Here is a 22,725-nt window from a genome sequence, read left to right as displayed (position 1 = left end):
ATGCGCTCAGCTTTGTTCTTTTGGCTTAGGATTGTCTTGGCAATGCAGGCCCTTTTCCATCAATCTTCACAAGAGAGACTAGTCTGGAATTTCTCTTTCTTATAAAACATGTTATTTGAAAGCCACCAGCAGTGTTTCTGAACCAATAACTGATTAACTTTTTTAAAGAGCTTGATCCTGATCATATTCAGTGAAACCTTTGAATACTTTAAGCAGTGTTTACTCCACTTCATAAATGAAATCAGTGATCTGTCGTCAGAATTAAGGCCATCTTGAAGGAAAGAACAGGGAGATAGTGAGGTGGGTGGGGATAACAAACAACTACCAGCATCCCCCAGAACAGCTGCTCTATTTACCCCACAGAGATTTTCTTTCTTTCCTTCTTTTTCCTTTTTGTGGAGAATGGGATCTCACTGTATTGCCCAGGCAGGTATCAAAGTCCTGGGCTCAAGCTATCCTCCTGCCTCTCCAGCAGCGGTTTTCTTTCATGACAGAGGCTGCTGGTTTGTGTTCCAGGGGCTTGATGCAGCAAGGGAGATGTCACTGCACGGTCCGCAGTGTGGGCTCTGCTAATGGTGTCTTCTCATGCGTACATCCTTGGGAGAGCTCTCAATAATCAGCAGCTGTCTCTTTTCTGTTGTTGGGGTTTTATATCTTTTGCTTCCTTCTACTGTACCTTCTTGCCATATATTTTTTGACTCTGACACCTTTAGGCCTGCTCCAGAGTCTATACTTGGTATTTGCTTTAGACAATTATTACATTATTCTAAATAAATGAACCACCTTATTTTATCACCTTTTTGAGGTATAATTTACAATAACATGTACCCCTTTTAAAGGTACAGTTTGAAGAGTTTTGGCAAATATAGATAGCCCTGGAACCACCACCACAATCAGAATAGAGGACACTTTCATCACTTCACCAAGTCCCTTCATGTCCCTTTGCAGCCAGGCTCCCTGAGCCTGGTTGGTCCCTGAGCAAGCACCGAACTGCTTTTTCTCTTGACAGCTTTGATTTGCCTTTTCTAGAATTCACATAATGAAATCATATAGTATATTCTCTTTAATATCTGGCTTCCTTCACTTAGCAAAATGTATTTAAGATTCATCTATATTGGTGTGTATATAATAATTCATTCCTTTTATTGTTGAGTAGTACCTTCTAGTGTATAGATATGTCACAATTCATTTATCCAACGAAATCTTAGATTACTTTAATCAATATTTATTAACTTTATCAATAGAATCAATTATTTTTAAGTTTGAGTGCCTACTGTGTGTCAAGCACTGGTATTTGAAATAGATTGTGAACAGAATCATAATTTGTACCCTCAAGGAGCTTACAGTGACAGCATACGGAAAATAATAAATAGTAAATAAATTATGCAGTATGTGTATTAGTTTCCTAGGACTACTGTAACAAATTACCATAAACTGCATAGCTTAAAACAACAGAAATTTACTCTCTCGCAGGACTTCTGGAGGCCAGAAGTCCTAAATGCAGGTGCTGGTGGAGCTGGTTCCTTCTGGAGGCTCTGAGGGAGATGCAGTGCATGCCTCTCGTATCTTCTGGTGGCTGCTGGCCGTTCTCGCCATTCCTTGGCTTATAGACACATCACTTCAGTCTCTGCCTCTGTCGTCAGATCACCTTCCCTTTTATCTTCTCCTCTTCTCTTCAAGACACTTGTCATTGGATTTAGTGCCCATCCTAATCCAGGATAATCTCATCTCAAGGCCCCAACTTAATGACATCTGCAAAGACCCTTTTTCCAAATGAAGTCACGCTCATAGGTTCTGGGTAGATGTATCTTTTGGGGGGCTACCTTTCAAACCCCTATAATATGTTACAAGAAGAAAGTGCTATGGTAATAATAATAATAGAGTAGAACAAGGAGGATCAAGAGTGCTGGAGGGATGCTGGATGCAGCTTCAGCAGGGTGGTCAGGATAGACCTCATTGAGGAGACACTGAGCAAAGGATATGAGGAGCCATTGCAGGGTTATAAGCCTTGGAATGATAAAACCTGATGCTATTTAAAAAGGACGACTCTGTGGTTGCATTAAGAATAGACTGTTGGCCGGGTACAGTGGTGCATGCCTGTAATCTTAGCACTTTGGGAGGCCCAGGTGAGCAGATCACTTGAGTCCAGTTTGAGACCAGCCTAGGCAACATGGCAAAACCTCATCTCTACAAAAAATTTAAAAATTAGGTAGGTGGTACATGCTTGTAGTCCCAGCTACTCAGGAGGCTGAGGTGGGAGGATCTCGCTTGAGCCAGGGAGGTGGGAGGCTGCAGTGAGCCATGATCATGCCACTGCACTCCAGCCTGCGTGACAAATTGAGACCTTGTCAAAAAAAAAAAAAAAGAATAGACTGTCCTTGGGCTAGATTGTGAGCAGGGGTGAAGAGGTGACTGAATATTAGTAGTCAGCTGGGTGTGGTGGCTCACACCTGTAATCCCAGCACTTTGGGAGGCCCAGGCAGGCGAATCACAAGGTCAAGAGATTGAGACCATCCTGGCCAACATGGTGAAACCCCGTCTCTACTAAAGATACAAAAATTAGCTGGATGTGGTGGCGCACACCTGTAGTCCCAGCTACTCAGGAGGCTGAGGCAGGAGAATTGCTGGAACCTGGGAGGCAGAGGTTGCAGTGAGCTGAGATCGTGCCACTGCACTCCAGCCTGGCAACAGAGTGAGACTCCGTCTCAAAAAAAAAAAAAAAAAATTAGTAGTCATCCAGGTGAAAGATGGTAGTGGCCTAGACTGAGGTAGGAATATAGAAGTAATAAGGGTAAGCCAGGCATGGTGGCTCATGCCTGTAATCCCAGCACTTTGGGAGGCCAAGGGGGGAGCGGATCACCTGAGATCGGGAGTTCAGGACCAGCCTGACCAACATGGTGAAACCCTGTCTCTACTAAAAATACAAAATTAGCCAGGCATGGTGGCGCATACCTGTAATCCCAGCTACTCGGGAGGCTGAGGCAGGAGAATCGCTTGAACCCGGGAAGCGGAGGTTGCAGTGAGCCAAGAGGGTGCCATTGCACTCCAGCCTGGGCAACAAGAGCAAAGCTCTGTCAAAAAAAAAAAAAAGAAGTGATAAGGGTGGTTGAAGCTGGATTTCTTTTTCAATTTAAGTAAAACTTATGTACGCAAAGTGCACACATCATAAGCATACAGCTCAAAGAATTTGCACAAAGCACTAAGGTACCCAGATGAAGAATCACTCATTATCTGCACCCCTAGAGGCCTCCTGTGCTGGCCCCCAGGCACCATCTCCTTCCAAAGGTAACCACTCTCCTGACTTCCTTTTTGAACTTTATGTACGTGAAATCATACAGCATAGACTCTGTTGTGTCCAGCTTCTTTCAACACTGTGCTTGTGAGTGTCATCCCTATTGTTGCATGTAGCAATTTTTTTTTGTTCTCATTGCTGTATAGTGGCAATATTCCATAATTTATCCATCATACTGTTGCTGGACATTTGGAGTTTTGCTAGTCTGTGGCTAATACAGAGAATGCTAATATAAACGTCTAGTGTGGATCTTTTGGTGTAGGTATGTACATCTAGGAGTGTCATTGCTGGATCACAGCATATATGAATGTTCAATATTAGTAGACACTGCCCCCCAAATTTTCCAGGTGTCCAATTTACACTCCCATCAGCAGTGTCAGAGAGTTAGGTTCTGGATATATTTTGAAGGGAAAACTAATAGACTATCAGCACAGATTGAAAGGAGATGAGAGATAGGACTCAGGATGACTTCAAGGGTTTGGGGCTGAGCAACTGCTAGGCTAGGCTTGGTGTCAACAGAGATAGGGAGCTGGCTTTAGGAAGGGAAGTGGGCAAAGATAAGAAATTCTCTTTCTTTTTTTTTTTTTTTTTTTTTTTTGAGACAGAGTCTTGCTCTGTCGCCCAGGCTGGAGCGCAGTGGCACGATTTTGGCTCACTGCAACCTTCTTCTCCTGGGTTCAAGTGATTATCCTGCCTCAACCTCCCTAGTAGCTGGGATTACAGGTGCCTTCCACCATGCCCAGCTAATTTTTACAGGTGCCCGCCACCATGCCCAGCTAATTTTTGTATTTTTAGTAGCGACGGGGTTTTGCCATGTTGGCCAGGCTGGTCTCAAACTCCTGACCTCAGGTGATCCACCTGCCTCGGCCTCCCAAAGTGCTGGGATTACAGGCATGAGCCACTACGTCTGGCCAGAAATCCTCTTTTAGACAACCATGAAATGCCTCTCAGACACCCAAATGGGGATGTTGGGAGGCACCAGACATACAAGTCTAGACCTCTGAAGTGTGGTCTGGACTAGAGATACAACATTGGGAGTTATCGGTGGAGAGGGCTTTTAAACCATTAAAGAGGTAGGCACACCAAGGAGGTGAGTGTCAGTGAGAAGCCCTAGGTGCTCCAACCCCAAGGAATCAGGGAAGAGGAGACATCAGCAAAAGAGATGGAACAGCAGGGGCCAGTGAGAGGAAGACCAAGAGAGCGTCTCCCTGGATGCTGGCTGGGCAAATCACATCAGCAGGAAAGAATCATTACCTGGGTGGCATGCAGCTGGCAGGTCCAGGAAAGGGACAGCTGACTGTTGGATTTAGCTATGTGGGGGGTCACTGGTGTCCTTGACAAGATAGTTTTGTTGGACTGCTGAGGGGCCTAGCTGAGGTGACTGTGAGAAGTAACAAGAGAAACTTGGAGACAAAGTAAGCATCGACATCTCTTGATTGGCTGGGCTATAAAACAGTAAAGCGAAAAAAAAAAGGGGGGGCATAAGGTAGGTAGAAAGGAAAGTAGAATCAAGAGAAGGGATGTTTTTCTTAAAATATGGTGGTCAAGACAGGCCTTACTGAAGTAGAAGCATGGTGTTTGTCTATTTTCTGCCTCGCCACCAGAATGTATCCTCCGAGGGGGCTGAGATCTGTGGTTGTCTTGTTTATTGCTGCATCCCCCATATCCAGAACAGGGTCTGGCACATAGACTCGATACCTCTCTTAAATAAATGAGCAAATCGGGCTTGATAAACAAGAAACACATATAACATGCCAAATAGTGCCCAAGGGATACAATGAAGAAGGAAAGAGAGAAACAATGTTGGGGTGGTAGTTGACATTTTACATAGGGCTGTCACTAAGGCTTCAATGACAGGGAGACTTTGGAGCAATGACAGATACATATAGTGGTGGAGGCCTAAACCAAAGCATGAGGCCAGAAAAAAAACTCATTCACAGATGATATAATTGTGTATGCAGAAAACACACAACAATCTGAATTATCCAAATAGAGAATTTAACACTGCTAGAGATAGAGTCATTCCATATGATTAAAATTTTAACCCTCCAAGAAGATATAACAATTTAAAGTTTGTCCTTAATGGCTTCAGATTCTATAAAGTAAAAATTGACACAATTAAAAGAAAATAGAAAAATTCACAATCATAATGGAAGATTTTAACACTTCTCTCAGTGATTGATGGAATGCACAGACACAAAATCATCATAAGGATATAGAAGATAGGAACAATACAATAGCAGATTTGGCCTAATAAATAAAACAAACTGCAGCATCCAATTTTTTTTCTCTTTGTGCAAATACAGAATATTTATGAAAACTGGCCACACACTATACCAAGTCTCAACCACCTGGGTGATGGCTACAAGAGCACTTGTCTTATAATTATTATTTATACATGTATTTATTTTCCATAGTATGCTGTATGCCATATATGCTGTATTATAACACAAAAAGTACGGCATAGGCCAGGCGCGGTGGCTCACACCTGTAATCCAAGCACTTTGGGAGACTGAGGCAGATGGAACACCTGGGGTCAGGAGTTCGAGACCAGCCTTGCCAACATGGTGAAGCCCTGTCTCTACTAAAAAATACAAAAAATTAGCCAGTCGTGGTGGCATGTGCTTGTAATCCCAGCTCCTCAGGAGACTGAGGCAGGAAAATTGCTTGAACCCAGGAGGTGGAGGTTGCAGTGAGCTGAGATCACACCAGTGCACTCCAGCCTGGGTGACAGAGTGAGACTCCATCTGCCCCGTCCCCACCCCCCAAAAAAAAAGTACAGCATAAATGAAACAAAACATGGCAGACAATGATAACACGTCATTCTGGGTAGGCTGTATATTGGGAAATGGAAACAAAGTCAGAAGGGAAGTTTTGGGAGCACTTAATTCCCTATAATACAGTAGGGAATCGATTTCACAAAACCATTCCCAGGCAGTTGAGCTATTTTCAGACAATATAGCACCTTGGCAAGCAGGGAAAAGATTTTGGGCTCCTCAAGTTCATGAGAAGAAATTGTTGTTGCATCTGTGATAAATTATCTTTAAGACCTTTTCCTGTTGACTCTGAATGTATTTTAGAAGAGAAATTTTAACAGTGGGAAAGAGCAGGCAGAGGTGGACCTTAAACAAGGGACATTGGGGATATGGAAACTGGAGGGGAGCCAGTGGGGAGAAGATCTAGAAATGTTAATAATGAGTGGCACGGCAGTGTTGGTAGGGATCTTCCTCTTCTGGAGAAGGGTATCCCACATCAGCCACCATGGAAGCTTCTAGAAGCCAAACATTCAAGAGACTCCTCTGCCAAGCTCAGTTTTTCAGGGAGTCTCGTGCATCTGTATTTTAAAGCTCCATAGATAGGATCCTGATGTGCAGCCAGGGTTAAAAACCCTGTGTGCTCCTGAGACATTAACCTGCCTGCAAATCCCTTGGGGGGGTCTTTTTAAAAATAGGTTCTGATTCTAGAGGTCTGGGAGGGGCCTGAGAGTCTGCATTTCCCACAGGCGCCCTGGCGATGCCGACGCTGCCCATCGCTAGGCCACATTTGGAGTATGGAGCAGGGAAAGAAATCAAATATAATTTGAACCACCGAGCTTGTGAAATAAAGCATGTGTGTTTTCTGGCAGAGTAAGATTCACAGGGCTTCTCCTGTTATGAAATGAAAAGAGCAAGTACAAAACAGTACAGCAGGACACAGTGAAATTCCTTAGGGGGTCACTAATTGAGACAGCATGGCCCCAGGTGTACCCTGACCCTTGAAAATATTTTCACAGTGCTCCATCTGTTTTTCTCCACCAGATTATGCCTTCTAGTTGGTATTGATTGCTTGTTCCCAGCAAAAATATTTGAGGTGAAGGAATAAATTCAGCCAAGACCAACAAAAAGGAAGGAAGGATTCCACACTGCTCTCTGAGTCCCTTGTTTTCACAGCACGTGGCTGAATCTTCCTTAATGCAAGGGATCAGCTGAGTGATCGTGGTGAGAAGCCACAATGTTTTCTAAACAAGCTCATTTCTGCATCTGTTCTCTCTGACCTGAAAAATGCCTCTTTGTTCCATTCCTCTTGTTCCTTTAGAAAGGACGCCCACTTTGTGTTGTTTACTCAAATTAGTTACTTCAGACAACAATAGGCATCAATTCACAGAAAATCCACTCAGGTTACTCAGTTGACACAGTTGTCCTTTGGATGTAGGCATACAGGCAAAAGGATATAGAATATTAAAATCATTGTGTAACCTTACTCAGAGGCTCAGGAAGCCCTGAGTTTTTACCAGTATATACTGGTGAAGTACAAGTTCAAACATTTATTTTAGTATTTCCCTATATTATTTTAAGTTAGGCTTTCTTTGCTTTCAAGTCTTAGATGTCTTTTCATTTTCCTTTATTTTTAAGGCTGCCATTCAAGTCATCTGTGTCCCATTAGTTGTTATCATATCTCACAGAAGTGTAGCCAGAAACAGAGCCACAGCAACACAGAGCTGTAGCCTGCAGCTGCCAACCCAGTGCCAGTTCTGTGCAGCCATGTTGCCTTCAGCTCTGGCCAGCAGTTCCTCCGATCCTGGAGGCTCTCTGCGTCTTGTTATATTTGCCAAATATTCTAAATTGCTTGGAATAGCTCAGTGAAGAAGGTCAGCACTACGCCCCATTTGGTGAATGTAAACTCAGGAAGGTTGTACACTTTTTATTTTATTATTTATTTGTTTGTTTATTTGATGGGGTCTTACTGTGTCACCCAGGCTGGAGTGCAGTGGCGCATTCATAGCTCATTACAGCCTCCAACTCCTGGGCTCAAGTGATCCTCCCACCTCAACCTCCCAAGTAGCTAGGACTACAGGTGTGTACCACCACGCCTAGCTAATTTTTTAAAAATTAATTTTCTGCAAAGACAGGGTCTCACTGTGTTGCCCAGGCTGGTCTCAAATTCCTGGCCTCAAGCGATCTTCCCACCTCGGCCTCCCAAAGTGCTGGATTATAGGCGTGAGTCACTGCACCTAGCCTATACACTTTTTAAATTCAAAATTCCATCAATAATAAATACAGTTAATTGCCTAAGTGCCTATATGATGTTATAATGTGTGTGTGTGTGTGTGTATGTGCGTGCATGCATGTGCCATATAAAGACTAAATTAACACATTCTCTGCAAGTTACAGGGGGAAAAGGCCATATTAAATGACCCCACAATGAAATAATCAGTCAAATCCTGAATGTAAGACATTATACAATTCAAACAGTTAGCCTGGTCTCTTTAGAAAGTCAATGTCATGAAAATAAAAAGGTGGGAAAACTGTCCTAAAAGCAACTGTATTCATAACAACCAAATGCAGTGTATGAATTCTTTCTATCCTGGAAAGCTATAAAAGAAATCTGGGGACAACTTGAAATGTTTGCTTTGCATACTTTCACAAAGTCTAAAGTTGTTCACCTCCTTAGAACATTTCCGCTCTTACCACTCATCTGTCATATGCTATTTTACCTGTCCAAGATTTAAGTTCTACCTTTTAATTTTTTTCAAAATGCCACAAATTAAACACTCCTCTGCGGTGAGACCTTTGATGTGGGTTAAGGGCCTCACCCTGATGTTCTGGAGCATGATCATGAGGCATCTTGATGGGCATTACATTTTTTTATCCTACGTAGGATTCACTGGGCTTCATGAATCTGTGGTGGGAAATGTTGAGCTGTTGTACTTTAAGTGTTTCTCTGTTCCAGTCTCTCTTCTCCTTCCAGAATTCTAGGTAAGCATATATTAGACTTCATTGTCCTACATAGCTTATTTATATATCTTAAATTTTTTCTTGGTTTTTGTTTCTTATCTCTCTGTGCAATGTGCCACATAATTTTTTCTGACATATCTTTGCGTTCATCAAATCTCTCCTTAGCTGTGTCTCATCCACTTTTAAATCCATCCACTTAATTTTTAATTTCTATTATTGCTATTTGTAGAAGTTCCATTTTAGATTATTCTAATAATCTGTATTAATCAATTTTCACTCCCTGTTCTTTTTATTTTCTGCTTTATCTATCAAAAATGGAGAAATGAGTACAGATATCTCCATCATGATGGTAGATATGTCAATTTATCCATGTAATCCATGAAGAAATCAATTTGTTGTTTTTTGAAGCTATTTTATGAACTGTAATTTTTTTAAATGTTATAGCTTTCTAGTGATAGATGTCCTTTCTATCACTAATGATATTTTTTTGGCTTTCTTTTGGATAGCATTTTCCTAATATATTCTTTTCATCCTAATGTATTCTTTTCCTAATATATTCATGTAAATGTTGCTGTGAGCTTATGTTTGGTATATCTCTTGTCAATAGCATGTAACTGTATGTGTGAATTTTTTATTCCAGTCATTACAGTCTCTGTCTTTCATATGGCCCATTGAATCCATTTACATTTATTGTAATTACTGATACATTTGAACTGATATTGCTCCTGTCTTACTTTGTGCTTTATATTTGTCCTGAATTTTTAATAACTCATTTCTCCTTTTTTTTGCTTTCATCAAACTATGCAGGAATATATTGCAGTTAGAATTCTCTGACCGTATTGTATGAATACATACATATAAATGAATTGAAACACTTTTGGAATTATCTATCAAAGCTTAAAATACATACACACTATGTTTCAGCCTTTCTACACATAGACATGCTTGCTCATGTGTACCAGAACACATGTACCAGAATGTTCCAAGCAGCATTTTTCATAATATCCAAAAGCTAAATAATCCAAATATCTATCAATAGTAAAGTGGTTAAATAATTTGTAGTTACATAAGAAATACAATAGACTGGCCAAGTAAAAACTATAGCTGCAATATCAACTTAGATGAAACAACAACAAAGAAAACATAATGTAAGGCAAAAGAAGTCAGACATCAAAGAATAGCCACTCTATTTTTTCACAATATGAAGTTCAAACACAGACAAAAGTAAGTATAGCGTTTAGGGATTCATGCTTAAGTGGTAAGACCACACAAAAAAGCCAAGAAAGGACTGTCGGCATAGTGGATACTTTTTCAGGGAGAAAGCTGGCATCTGAAAGACACAAGGAGATGATAATTTGTTGAGGTATAGTTTTTTTATGTGTAATTTTCTCTATGTGTATTTCATTATGAAAAGTAAAAAAGAAAAAAATTGAATATAGTTAATATCTTTTTGAGTACTCATTAACTTCATTTTCCAAATTTCTCTATTCTCTAACAATATTAATATCCTTAAGTCATCTAGTCTTTATTTAGAAATTACTGTATACCTATTATCAGCCTGGGTGTGTGAAGACACAGAGGAAGTTGAAGGCACACATAGTCCTGGCATGGGAAGGGGCTTAGCCAGGAAGAAGGGTCCTCCCTTAACCCCTCCATTATAACAGAAGGAAAAAAGGATGGGTCATGTTTCTGGGTATATTTGACAGAATGGATTTGTTATAACTTAGGTCTGAGTGCCACACTACTACCTTGTAAGAGGTAAAGGAATGAATGGTGTGATGAGGAACCAAGGTAAGGAATGTGGACCACACAGTTGTCTAAAGATTGATGGTAAGCAGATCTAGAAGTTTTTAAAGATGCTTCTAGTGGAACCTGAGAATGTCTTTATGCGAACAGCAAGAGAGAGAGAGGAAGAAGGGAAGGGAAAGGAAAGGAAAAGAAAAGCCATCAGCAATGCTAGGGAGAGAGGAATGACTGACGGGAGGGATGCTGAAGGCCCAGGAGGGAGTGGGAGCCCACACTCAAGGTGACTGGACAGCAGGGAGAATCTCAGGTAGAGGCCCAGCCTAGGGGTAGTTCCCTTAGCCATCTGGGGGATTCCCAAGACCTTTATTATGTCATCAGCGGGATGAGGAGTATGGAAAGAAAAGTTTGAGGCATATGGAGAAGATCGGGAACCCTGCCCCAGGGCCACAAGAACGAACCACAGCCAGACGTGGATCACAAAGAAGTGAGCAACAGCAAGGCCCTGCCGAGGCCTCACAATCTATGCTTGCGGAAGATACAGTCATAGCTTTGTGAGACTTTCCAGAAGTCCCTAGCAGCAGTCTGGGGAGCCCAGAAATCCTCAAGTTTGGGTGGCACAGGGCTGAGAAACAGCAAAAGGAAGAGAGGGCAAAGATGAGTGAGAGGGAGATATGTGGACTTGACCAACCATGAAGGCCAGGCCAGAGAGGGAGGCACTGGGAAAACAGGGAGGGCCAGAGACAGGGGACCAGTGGGGCAAAGAGCACATTCTGGGGCCCAGGAGACTGAAAGGCAGCAGGAGAGGTAGGGACTGGGGTCCAAAAGATGGTATTAGAGTTTCCCATCTTGCAGCTGAAGTAGCTTGTAGGGATGGAGCCACTTTCAGCACAGCTGGCCTCCTGCCAGGAGATGATGCCCTGGTCAGCATCTTGAGAGGCAGAGGAGAGGAGAGAAGGAAGGTCCCATCTTTCCTTCTCTGAGAACAAAGGGACAGTGTGAGGGACATTACTTTATCCCAAGCAGCTGCCCACAGTCCAGGCCCAGAATGCAAGAGACTGTGGCAAGCATTATCACCAAATTCTTCTCCCAGCTTCCACAAGTCAGGACTGTCCAATGGAACTTTCTGCAGTGATGGAAATGTTCTATGTAAGTGCTGTCCCGACAGTAGCCACTAACCACATGTGGCTATTGTGCTCTTGAAATGTGACTGAGGAACTGAATTTTTAATTGTACTTCATTTTAATTGAAGTTAAGTAAAGATATGTGGCTAGTGGCTACCATATCGGACAGCAAACTCCAGGGCTTCTCTAAAACAAATGTATGGGCTCAGCAGTGGGTTTCTGATAGTTTTGGACCTTAACTTTTTGTCAAATAAAATTCCACACAGAAACACAATACAGGATATCAAGATATGGTGGTGGGGCTACTCTGGTTGGATTCCCACCAACCTGTCCAAGCCCTGGGCACAGTCCTACAGGCACATTCATGAAATTCTAGGGCTCTGTGGCACAGTTCGTGGGCAAGGTCTGTGGTGCCCAATATGGGACATCTGCCGCTGGGAGTACGTAAGGTGTTTTGAGGCAGCACCAGACATAGACATTTAAACTTTTTAAATTTTCTTCAATTTATCTTAAATGAATTTTAAAAACACTAGCTTTACGTGTATGGTAGTGATGTAAAATTTTGTTTTTAAATGTATTGAAGTGAAAAGTGAATTAATTTAAAGAAAAATGATAAATAAATAACAGTCCACATGGTTCACAAACATGATAAATATGGCTATTGGCAAAAATGGCAAACATGGTTGGAGAACGGGAGTATCGATGGGTCTGATTTGGAATGAGGGCCTTGGACCAACAGCACCACCATTCCTTGGGGGCTTGTGGGAAATGCAGAATCGCAGGTGCCGTCCCGGACCTACTGAGCCAGCATCTGCATTGGACCAAGACCCCCAGGGGATTCGCTGATGTTTGAGGAGCATTGCTCCAAGGAGCTTGGCAGCTCTGAGACACCGGGGCTCTGAGGTCAGAAGCTCCACTTGCAGCCAAGAGAGTCCCAGGGTTCAGGGAAAAGTTGGGGCATTCCCACCTCCTTGGCACCACATACACATACATACACGCACACATGTGTGCACGTGCACACACAGGTTCTCCTTCACCACCTGAGCTAGGCAAGTCCCCACAGCAGCCCCAGCATTTCCTTTGCAGAATCTCCTCCTGCTGGCTTCTACACTCCTATTTGTACTGTGTGAGTCTTTGTGCTCCCTGAGGGATAGCGAGCAAGTGCTTTGGGCAGCAGGGAGAACAGTCATGTCAAGAACTTGAATGTGCTGAAGAAATGTTCTAAAATGCAGACATCTGACTGTTGCCGAAGCTGTGAACAACAGAAATGAACTTGTACTTAAATGCTTCGAATCTGCAGCAGGTTTTTCCTTTACCAGCTGACTTTTATTGAGATTCAACCATGTACCTGGCACTAGGGAGAAAAGGATGAGTAAGGCATGATGCGAGCCATAGTCCAGAGGGGACACATACGATGCACTCTTCATGACAGCACAGCACTGGCAGGCATTACAAGTCAGCTATGGGCCAGGCGTGGTGGCTCGCACCTGTAATCCCAGCACTTTGGGAGGCCAAGGCGGGTGGATCACGAGGTCAGGAGTTTGAGACCAGCCTGGCCAACACAATGAAACCCTGTGTTTACTAAAAATACAAAAATTAGCCAGGTGTGGTGGCACGCACCTGTAATCCCAGCTACTCAGGAGGCTGAGGCAGGAGAATTGCTTGAAACCAGAAGGCAGAGGTTGCAGTGAGCCATTGCACTCCAGGTTGGGCAACAAGAGCAAAACTCCGTCTCAAAAAGAAAAGTCAGGTATGTACCCAGGGCCCGGGGGCAGGGAAGAGCAAGCAATATATTCCAGCTGCAGATGGGGTTCTGGGGCTTCTTAAAAAGGGTAAAAGGCCAAGCATAGTGGCTCATGCCTGTAATCCCAGCACTTTAAGAGGCTGAGGCTGGAGCATTGCTTGAGCCCAGGAGTTCAAGACCAGCATGGACAACATAGTGAGACCTCATCTCTAAAAAAATTAATGTGTTAAAATTTAAATTTTAAAAAGAGGTAATAAATCATCTGGGTCAAGAGAAAGGACAGGATTTTTCTGGGTTGAGAAAGCAGAGGTGCTCTTGGCTGAGAGACATCCCAGAAGTATAAAAATGCACATTCCGGAAAGTGAAAAGTTTAGCTTCTCCTGGAGCCTAGGTGTGCAAGAGTTAAATTCCTCAGGGCCCAATTTTAAAAATCCTCAAAACTTTACAGACCAGGCTAAGGAGTTTGGACTTTATCTTGTGGTGACTGGGAGCCACTGAGGGTGGTTAAGTAACAATGGCATCACTAGGATGAGCAAATTATTGAAAGTGGCATGAACTTCATGGTCGGCAGGGTAATCAGGAACCCTGGCACGGGCCCAGGAGCCCACACCCATACAACTGAGTCAGGGCCCTCCCCAGTGTCTCCACCCCTTCCGGAAATCAGATAACTAAGGCATGCTAGCCTTCTATCCTGCAGGTAAGTCTGTCCTGAGTGACATGGGGCACAGTGAGACCGGTCCACAGGCAGTGTCTTGCATACTAGCAGTGGAGGCCCCAAGGAGCACTCAGAGTGGGGCTCAGCTAAGCTGAAAACCCCATTGCCATGGGGCACCAGACACCACTGAGCTGAACTCACTCCCCTTGTCCCTGCCATGCAGAAGTGATTTCCCTAGCCCCAATCCCCCTGCTGAATGCCAAAGCCAGCTGCCACACACTCTTGAGAGCCAACTGGTAAATTTTCTAGAATTCTGTGGGCTGGTTGTTAAACATGGCCACTAAGAATTAAACTACATAAGCTAGCAATTGAATAAGTTATTTAAAACAGAGGTAATAAATACACAAAACTTGGCACTTCCTAATTATTGACTGTACTATTATCTATGCCTGTTGGATCTGGATAGTGGAGACTCAGTACAATGGTGTGCTACTGCATGTCTCCACGTTTAGTGACATCACTTTGGTAGCTTAGAATCAGTCATAGTAAGGCCAGGTGAGGTGGCTCATGCCTGTAATCCCAGCACTTTGGGAGGCCAAGGCGGGTGGATCACGTGAGGTCAGGAGTTCAAGACCAGGCTGGCCAACATGGTGAAACCCCATCTCTACCAAAAATACAAAAATTAGCCGGGCGTGGTGGTGGGCACCTGTAATCTCAGCTACTCAGGAGGCCGAGGCAGGAGAATTGCTTGAACACGGGAGGCGGAGGTTGCAGTGAGCCAAGATTGTGACACTGCACTCCAGCCTGGGCATTGCAGCAAAACACTGTCAAAAAAAAAAAAAAAAAAAAAAAAAGTCATAGTAAAAGTGTTTACACCACAGAAATTGGCAAATGTGACAAATCAGAGCTTTTTCTGCAGAGAGCCAGTGGTTACATACCTGCCAGCCTACCACTCCTCTCCACCCTCTGTCTTGCTGGCTCTCTGCGGAAGCCCCCCAACCCTTCCAGGCCTGTCCTCTCCACTCTATGAGTCCCAGCAGCACAACTGGCCTTGTCAGATGAGAGCTGTCACATAGGCTTCAGAAAGTCATGGGGACCCTACCAGGAGCCCTGATTATCTGCCCCATTGCATTTACTTACTGCTCTTTGGGGTTATCTGGGTGATTCTTCGTGCTGCCCAAAGCTACCACACAGGGTCTCACATACTGGATGGGCTCCCAGGGAGTATAGCAGTATGAATGGAAGGAGGTGCTGGCCTGATCTCAGAGGTAGGGAATTAAAGAGAGGCCTTGCCTCCATCAAACCAACAAGGTCCCAGCAGCCTCATGGTCCAGGTGAGGCATCTCTCCAAAGTGCCCAGTTCCTGAAGGTCACTGCATAGCCAGGTACCCTCTAGGAATAACTCATATATGAGAACAAGAACATGCAAGCAGATAGCTGGAGGCAGCAACAAGCCTTCTGCCTAAACAATGCAAAACCACTTTAAAAAGGCAGCCCCGTCGAATTGGAGCCCAGGGAACCAGCACAAGAAAATGCTGGCACTCCGTCTGCTGCCATTGCTGTGAGGAGTCCTTTGTAGGGGGAGGGCGGGTAGCCCTATCTATGGATGGCTGAGACTCATTTTGCCTGAGTCTTATATATTCTCAGGAATATCTTCACAGCCTTGGAGTTGATAAAGGAGTGCTTTCTTAAACAGGACATAAGAAAAACCACCAAAGGAGGACACTAAAGGAAAAGATTGGGAAATTGGACTTTGTTAAAGTTAAAAATATCTCTTCATTAGAAGACACCACTGACAGAATAAAAGGCAACACAGACTGAGAAAAGCAATTTGTAATACACTAAACTGGCATAGGACCCAAATCCAGAATACATAAAGAACTACAAATCGGTAGGAAAAAATCAGACAACCCAATTAAAAACTGACAAAAAATTTGAACAGGCACTTCATGAAAAAAGATACCTAGATGGCCCAATTAGCCTATGGAATGGTATGCAGCCTTACTGGTCATGAGGGAAGTTAAAATAAGGCACAATGGGCCAGGCGTGGTGGCTCACGCCTGTAATCCCAGTACTTTGGGAGGCTGAGGCGGGCAGATCACAAGGTCAGGAGATTGAGACCATCCTGGCTAACACGGTGAAACCCCGTCTCTAATAAAAATACAAAAACAAAATTAGCTGGGCATAGTGATGGGTGCCTGTAGTCCCAGCTACTCGGGAGGCTGAGGCAGGAGAATGGCGCGAACCCCAGAGGTGGCACTTGCAGTGAGCCGAGATCGCGCCACTGTGCTCCAGCCTGGGCGACACAGTGAGACGCCGTCTCAAAAAAAAAAAAAAAGGCACAATGAACTATCACTATACACCTACAAGACTGGGCAGACCTTTAGAAATAGAATGACAAGTGTTAGGATGCAAAGCAAAAGCAACTGAAACCCAAAGGGAGTGTCAGCTTGTACTACCACACTCTGGAAAACAGTCTGACAATATCTGCTAAAGCCAAACACACCTATCCTAAGGCCAAGAAGTTCCCAGCAGTGAGTGCATTCATCTACGGAAGAACGTGCACTAGAATGTGCATTGCAGCCCTATTCATGACAGCCCCAAACTGGAGACAACACAGACATCTGTCAGTAGTAGACTGGAGCATACTCACACCACCGACAAGTATACTGCAGTGAGAGAGAATGACCCACAGCTACACAACACACTAGAACATGAATGAACCCCACAAACAACGGAAAGCAAATGAAGCCAGGCACAGAAAAAGTACATCCCATTTAATTCCATTTTCATCAAGGTCAAAACTAACCCATGGGGTTAGACACCAGGATGGTAGGTTCCTTTGGGGAGGAGGCAATGGGTAGGAAAAAACATTTATCTAGAATCTGAAGTTTAAAAAAATTAAAGTAGTTTCTCCTGCTGTGCTGCCTTTTTTTTCTGCTTTGCTTTTTCGAGGTAGGAAGTTCCAGGACAGGTAATATGTCTGAGGAAGCCTCCACCTCCCTCACCCTACTCACCCTTCTCCTCTGGGACCAGACAGGCAGGAACTCCAGGGAAAGCCCAACAAGGAGCTGTCCTAGAGCACTGATTTCATTTTGGCTTCAAGTAAGATTTTCACTAGCAACTCTGCTTTTCATCTCTTTTAAATTTTATTATTATTATTTAGCATTTTCTTATCTGTTACAATGTATTAGGCACTGTTCAAAGCGTGGCATTAGTATTAATATGTTACCCATTCATTCATTCAGCCTGCTGGAGACTTGGTAATGGCCTCTTTATTGAGAACTTACTCTGTGCCAGGTAGTAAGCTAAGTTCCCAATTAATCCTCACATGAGCTCTTCCTTGCCAGGCAGGAGAGAGGGGAAGATATCTGTTAGCATTACAGAGGAGTACACAGAGACTCAGAGAAGTCAAGTGCCTTGTCCAAGGTCACACAGCTAAGTCAGTAGCAGAGTTGGTATACAAACCCAGATTCCACATTACTGCAAAGCACCAAGCTCTGTCTTATCTAGTGACCACCCTCAAGCAAATCACGTTGTAAGACTGGCAGAAATACGAGGTTTCTTAGTTCCCTACCCTGGCCTAATGAATCAAAATTTCTGGCCCCTAGGCTGGCCTGAGCAGTAGAGTCCCCCACAGCAGTTCAAAACCTGATTCCGTCCCCGGACCCAGTAGGCACGCAGGGCCAAGCTGTTGGGTGGACGGAGGGGACGGGACTGCCGGGAAGGTCCCTCACTTCTTTCTGGCCCCTGGCAAATGTTATGTTCTCTCCTCTGAGAAGCCCTCCCTAACCATCCCTGGCCACCCCCCGCAACTGCTTACCCCTTTACTTTGCCTTAGGTGTCTTCCTCGCGTCTCTCAGTCTTATACGTGGGCTAGGTTGAACCATATGACATTGTCCTTTCTATAAATTAAAAAATGGTTGAAAATGGGGCATTTCATGCAGTCCAATTCAAGTGTTTCCCTCTACCAGAATGTCAGCTCCAAGACGGAGCTGGGAAGTGGTTCACAGCCGTGTCCCCAGACAACGCCTGGCACACAGTAGGCGCTCGATAAATGACAGGTGAGTGGCCGAGGGAAGGCGCCCACTTCGAGGAGTTCCGCAGCCTGAAGAAAGGCCCCGCCGAGCCGGAGGACCCCAGGGGACTCCGCCCTGTCCTCTGCAATCTCGGGTGCCTTCCCGGCCGCGACGATCGGGCGGGGTGGGGCTCGCCGTCATCCATTTACCAGCCTCGCCTCTCGGACGGGCGCGCCGTTAATGAGATTAGCAATTTAAAAACCAGCTAGCTGCGTCGGCGGCGGAGGCGCGGGGCCACCCCCAAGCCGAGCCGGGGTGGGACGGCGCGCCTGGCGACCGCGCACTGAGACTGCCGTGCCGGACCCCCGAGCCGGAGCCGAGCGCGCCGAGGCCGGGGCCATGGAGAAAGCGCGGCCGCTGTGGGCCAACTCGCTACAGTTCGTGTTCGCCTGCATCTCGTACGCCGTGGGCCTGGGCAACGTGTGGCGATTCCCGTACCTGTGCCAGATGTACGGCGGAGGTGAGTGCCCACCGCGCCCCGGCCCCAGCCCAACTCTGTGCGCGTCCCCGCCGTGTGTGCGAGCCGGGGTTAGACCCAAGTTACAGAACGGCACACTGAGGCCGGGAAAGCGAGCGTGATTTGTCCGAAGTTACAGACCCGGGAGTGTTCCCAGGACACCTCGTTCCGGAGCCGGAGCTCTCTCCCAAGCCGCCCTCCCAAGCCCTCGGGAACCCCTCGCCCCATCCCGGGGGCGGCCAAGCCCCCAACCCTCACCCTTGTTGGCCAGGCTGCGGCTCTGAGAGCGCAGGGGACGCGGTCTCCTTCTTCGAGAGAAGTGTCAATGGTCTGACGTCTTAGTGAGTAAACCTTACGTTTAGGTGTAAAAAGTGAGTAGGAAATTGTCTTATTCAACAGAAACTCGTTATACAACTTTCAGATCCGAAACTTAAATCAACGGTTTGAAACTCAGGTTAAGAGAATCTTGAGCCATTTCTTTAAATTTTTTATAAGGAGATTGGTTTGAGTTTGGAACGACAGAAAGCAGGAAATGCAAATCATTCTGTTTTGTTTTGTTTTTCTTAAATAAATGTTTCCTCCGAAGCATCATGCACGCTCCGGGGACAGCCAGCCAGCCACGCGCTCTTACCGCACTCCCCTAGCGTTGCGGAAAGCTGGGAACACCTTCTACACATGTCTATAACCTCGTGAAGCCCAAGTACCTTTTTGGAAGGCAATGTGGCAAGAGGGATTTAAGTCTCAGCATCTAAAACACTTTTTTTCTCGGTTGTCTCGTTTCTAGAATTGTATCTAAAGGAAATTGTCAGAGTTCTGACAGAGGTAGAAGGATGGTCACCATCATTTAATAAGAGCAAAACATTGGCAACTTCCTAAGCCCTCAAATAAAGGGGATTGGTTCAGTAAATTATAGAGCATCCATTCAAGGTTGCTCTTCGCAGCCTTTAAGGCGGCATTTTCAAAAAAAAAATTGTATTTTCTCGTATCCTGTATTAAGTGGAGGGAGGAGAAATCAGATTCAAAGCTATATAAAATGGATTTGACATTTTAAAACAATTACTTAAAAATATGCAGAGAAAAGAATGGGGAAAAGACATCAAATTGTTAACAAAATTTCTGGGTGATTTTTGTTTACCTTGTCGTGTGTGTGTGTTTTTGTGTGTGTATGTGTGTGTTTGTGTATTAGGACTTCTATAATTAGCATGTTTTTTTCACCATAAAAGATCATGGAAGATGTTAGACCAAAGTATTTACGAAAATGAACCCATTTGAGAAGACCAAGAGCTAAACACTGCTCCCTCCTCCCCTTACCCCAAATCAACAAAAGGTTAATTCATAGAGTTTTTAAAACAGTGCATTCTTAATTTCCTGATTCCTTTTTAAAATTTGAAGTGCATAAATACACCATAATGATGTGAAGGGCATATGTTGCCATATGCTCTAACAGCATTACCATGTGCTCTAACAGCTCTATAACTGACTCTTAAAAAGAATTATTTGTCAGAATGAGATTTCCACATCATTCTGTGCTCAGTAGACCTACCCATGATACCTTTATCCTGGGTACATGTTTCCCAGTCATCAGTCCAGGTGAGCCTCACTGTCACATGACTACTTAATTCCTTGTTTATAATACCACCATCACCTGAATAGTCTGCAGAGGGATGCATGTGGGGCTGATAGTTCTGGAGTTGAATATGTATCAAGGGGTTGCTAGGGAAACCTCAAGACCCTCAGGTTCCAAGAAAAAGAAACAAGAAGTAATCCTGTGCCTGGTGCAGAGGATGCTTCGGCTGGATGGGTGGATAGATAGATGAGTGGAAGCCGGACGGAGCATGGATTGGTGGCTGGGTGTATGCATGGATTAGTGGGTGCACAGACAAAAGGAGGGTGTGGGTCTGGTGGATGGCACCCTGTCAGCCACATGTCTACAGAATAAAGACCGAACAGTCCACTTGGCACCGTAGGCACTTGACCACCTAACTTGACCACTTGTCCAATATTTCCACCTCATTTCCTGCCACACAGCTTCAAACCTCCTCCTGCCTTCCAAACACTTCCATGAGCACCTCCTTCTGTGCCTCAACCCTTCACACAAGATATTTCCTCCACCTGAGAGGCTGTTGTTGCTGGGAGAACTCCCACCATTCCCTCCAGGTGGGACCAAATATTGCTTTCTCTCCGTTGTGCTCTCTGACTCTCCTCACTACTTCACAGGCCACATAAGCACTTGGTCAGAAGAACTGCACATTGTTCTTCAGTTTCTCTGTCTCCGCCCGGCCCAACCTCTGTGATGTGATGGAGTCACAGGAGCCATCCAATAAATATTTGTTGAGTGAATGAGCAAGGTATTAGGAAAAGCCACAGAATAAATGACGCTAGAGGATGCTAGAGGCTTTCCCAAGCCTTTCACTGCACAGTAAAGTCACCTTTAAGAAGTGATTTGTGTTGCCCCAAACCCAGGCAGTTTACAACCCATCCCTTACCGGAAGGTAAAAATCAGCCACATTATGAAAGGCTGCAGAGGGGTGTATAACTTCCTTGTAAGCAGAGCTGCAAATACCCCCAGCAAACAAAGAATTTGTTTATAAACCACAGAGCCAGGCTGTGCCAAAATACTTCCCAGAATAAGACGGATTAGGGATCTGTGCCCCTCTCCATGGGACTCTGCCCGTGACTGGAGAGGCTTGTTTCCTTCCTGCTCCCCAGGCCAGGCCCGGCCCGGCATGAGGAATGTTAATTCTGAAGATTACATTCCAGGTACCAATCATCTCTGTACAGCCCTGGCTGCCTGCTCTAGAAAAATAAAAAATAAAAGGCAGCTCAAAGAACTTCACAAAATCTCTTTTTGAAAAAGTCAGCAGGTCTTGGGCAACCATGTCAAAATCTAAGGCAGTAGTTGTTCAGGAAGAAATCGGGGATGCAAGTGTGTGTGCACTAAGGTGTAAAAAGCAAATACTGCACTAACTATTTTACATAAACCTGTGCACGGAAGAAACATGGAGAGATGAGAACAGTTGTGTGACTGGTGGAAATATGGATTTTTTTCTCTTAAATTTTCTCTCTGCAATATTGAGGGGGAAATCAGAGGACACCTGACTATGCAGTGGGACAGTATCACTCTCAGACTGGAATGCTCCACATCCCTGCAAAGCCCTTGCTGTCTGGGACAGGAAGCCAGCTCTTTCAGCTGCCTGTACTGCTTACCCCAAATTGCTTAGAGAATTGCATGTCAAACTGTAGCCTACCTGAGCATCTTCATAAACTGCAGGTTGCTAGACCCCACTTCCAGGGATTCTGATCCAGACGCCTGTGGGGGAGGACAGGATTCTTCATTTCTAGAAAGCTCCCTAGCAAGGCTAAGGCTTGGTCCATGGACCACACTTCAGGGAAGGGTCAGGGTTGCTTCTGTGGCCCCAGGCCCGGCAGTAGGGTCCCAGTAAATGTTTAACAACTGGCTCTTGGTGGAACAGCAAGACCCAATTCCAAGAATTTGCAGATTACCTTGATGTAAATCCTCCCACCATGGCCAGTTTCAGACTGCCAACGTATTGTGCCGGAGTGTGGGGTTGGGGAGAGGTGGGGCCGGTTGGCTCTTGTGAGCCGGCCTGGAGCTGCGGTGGCCACAGCTCTTCAGGCCAGCACCCAGCCTGGGACTGATTCACAGCAGGTCAGTCCATGGATGGATCAGGGAACAGTGCTGCAGCTGTTTACCTGTAAAGTGGGTGAGGGCCCCCAGTAGTTGGGAAATACCATGATCAGGGGCCCCTGCTGCTCACCCAAGTTTTCCAGACTCAATCCTGGTAACATCTGCCCTGTTGGGCTCCTAGCATGTGCCAGGCATCATGTGAGGCATTTTCTGAAGGAATTCAATTTGGTCTTCACAACATGCCCACAGTTGGTCCTGTCACCCCCAT

At 44.9% G+C, this 22,725-nt stretch overlaps 1 protein-coding gene and 1 long non-coding RNA gene across 9 annotated transcripts in view; one reads left to right on the top strand and one right to left on the bottom strand.

Moving 5' to 3' along the window:
• Positions 1-10,097: 10,097 nt before the first annotated feature.
• LOC107986082 (uncharacterized) lies at positions 10,098-19,211 on the bottom strand. The gene is made up of 3 exons (XR_001740680.2): positions 19,067-19,211; positions 18,096-18,177; positions 10,098-10,336 (listed from the first exon to the last, which is right to left on the bottom strand). It is a non-coding gene; the product is annotated as an uncharacterized LOC107986082 (long non-coding RNA).
• The window catches only part of SLC6A20 (solute carrier family 6 member 20), a 41,088-nt gene continuing 36,936 nt past the window's right edge, over positions 18,574-22,725 (top strand). For all 8 annotated transcript variants that reach the window (NR_176012.1, NR_176011.1, NM_001406067.1 and 5 more), the window contains exon 1: positions 18,574-18,811. Coding sequence is in view for 6 of the 8 variants with exons in the window: in NM_001406067.1 (NP_001392996.1) it covers positions 18,691-18,811 (121 nt within the window). In the remaining 2 variants the exon portion in view is untranslated. The remainder of the gene's footprint in view (positions 18,812-22,725) is intronic.

This window comes from Homo sapiens, chromosome 3 (assembly GCF_000001405.40).
Source record: "Homo sapiens chromosome 3, GRCh38.p14 Primary Assembly".
NCBI lineage: Eukaryota > Metazoa > Chordata > Mammalia > Primates > Hominidae > Homo > Homo sapiens.
The sequence above is the reverse complement of the archived record's forward strand: the minus strand, read 5'-3'. Positions and strand labels throughout refer to the sequence as shown.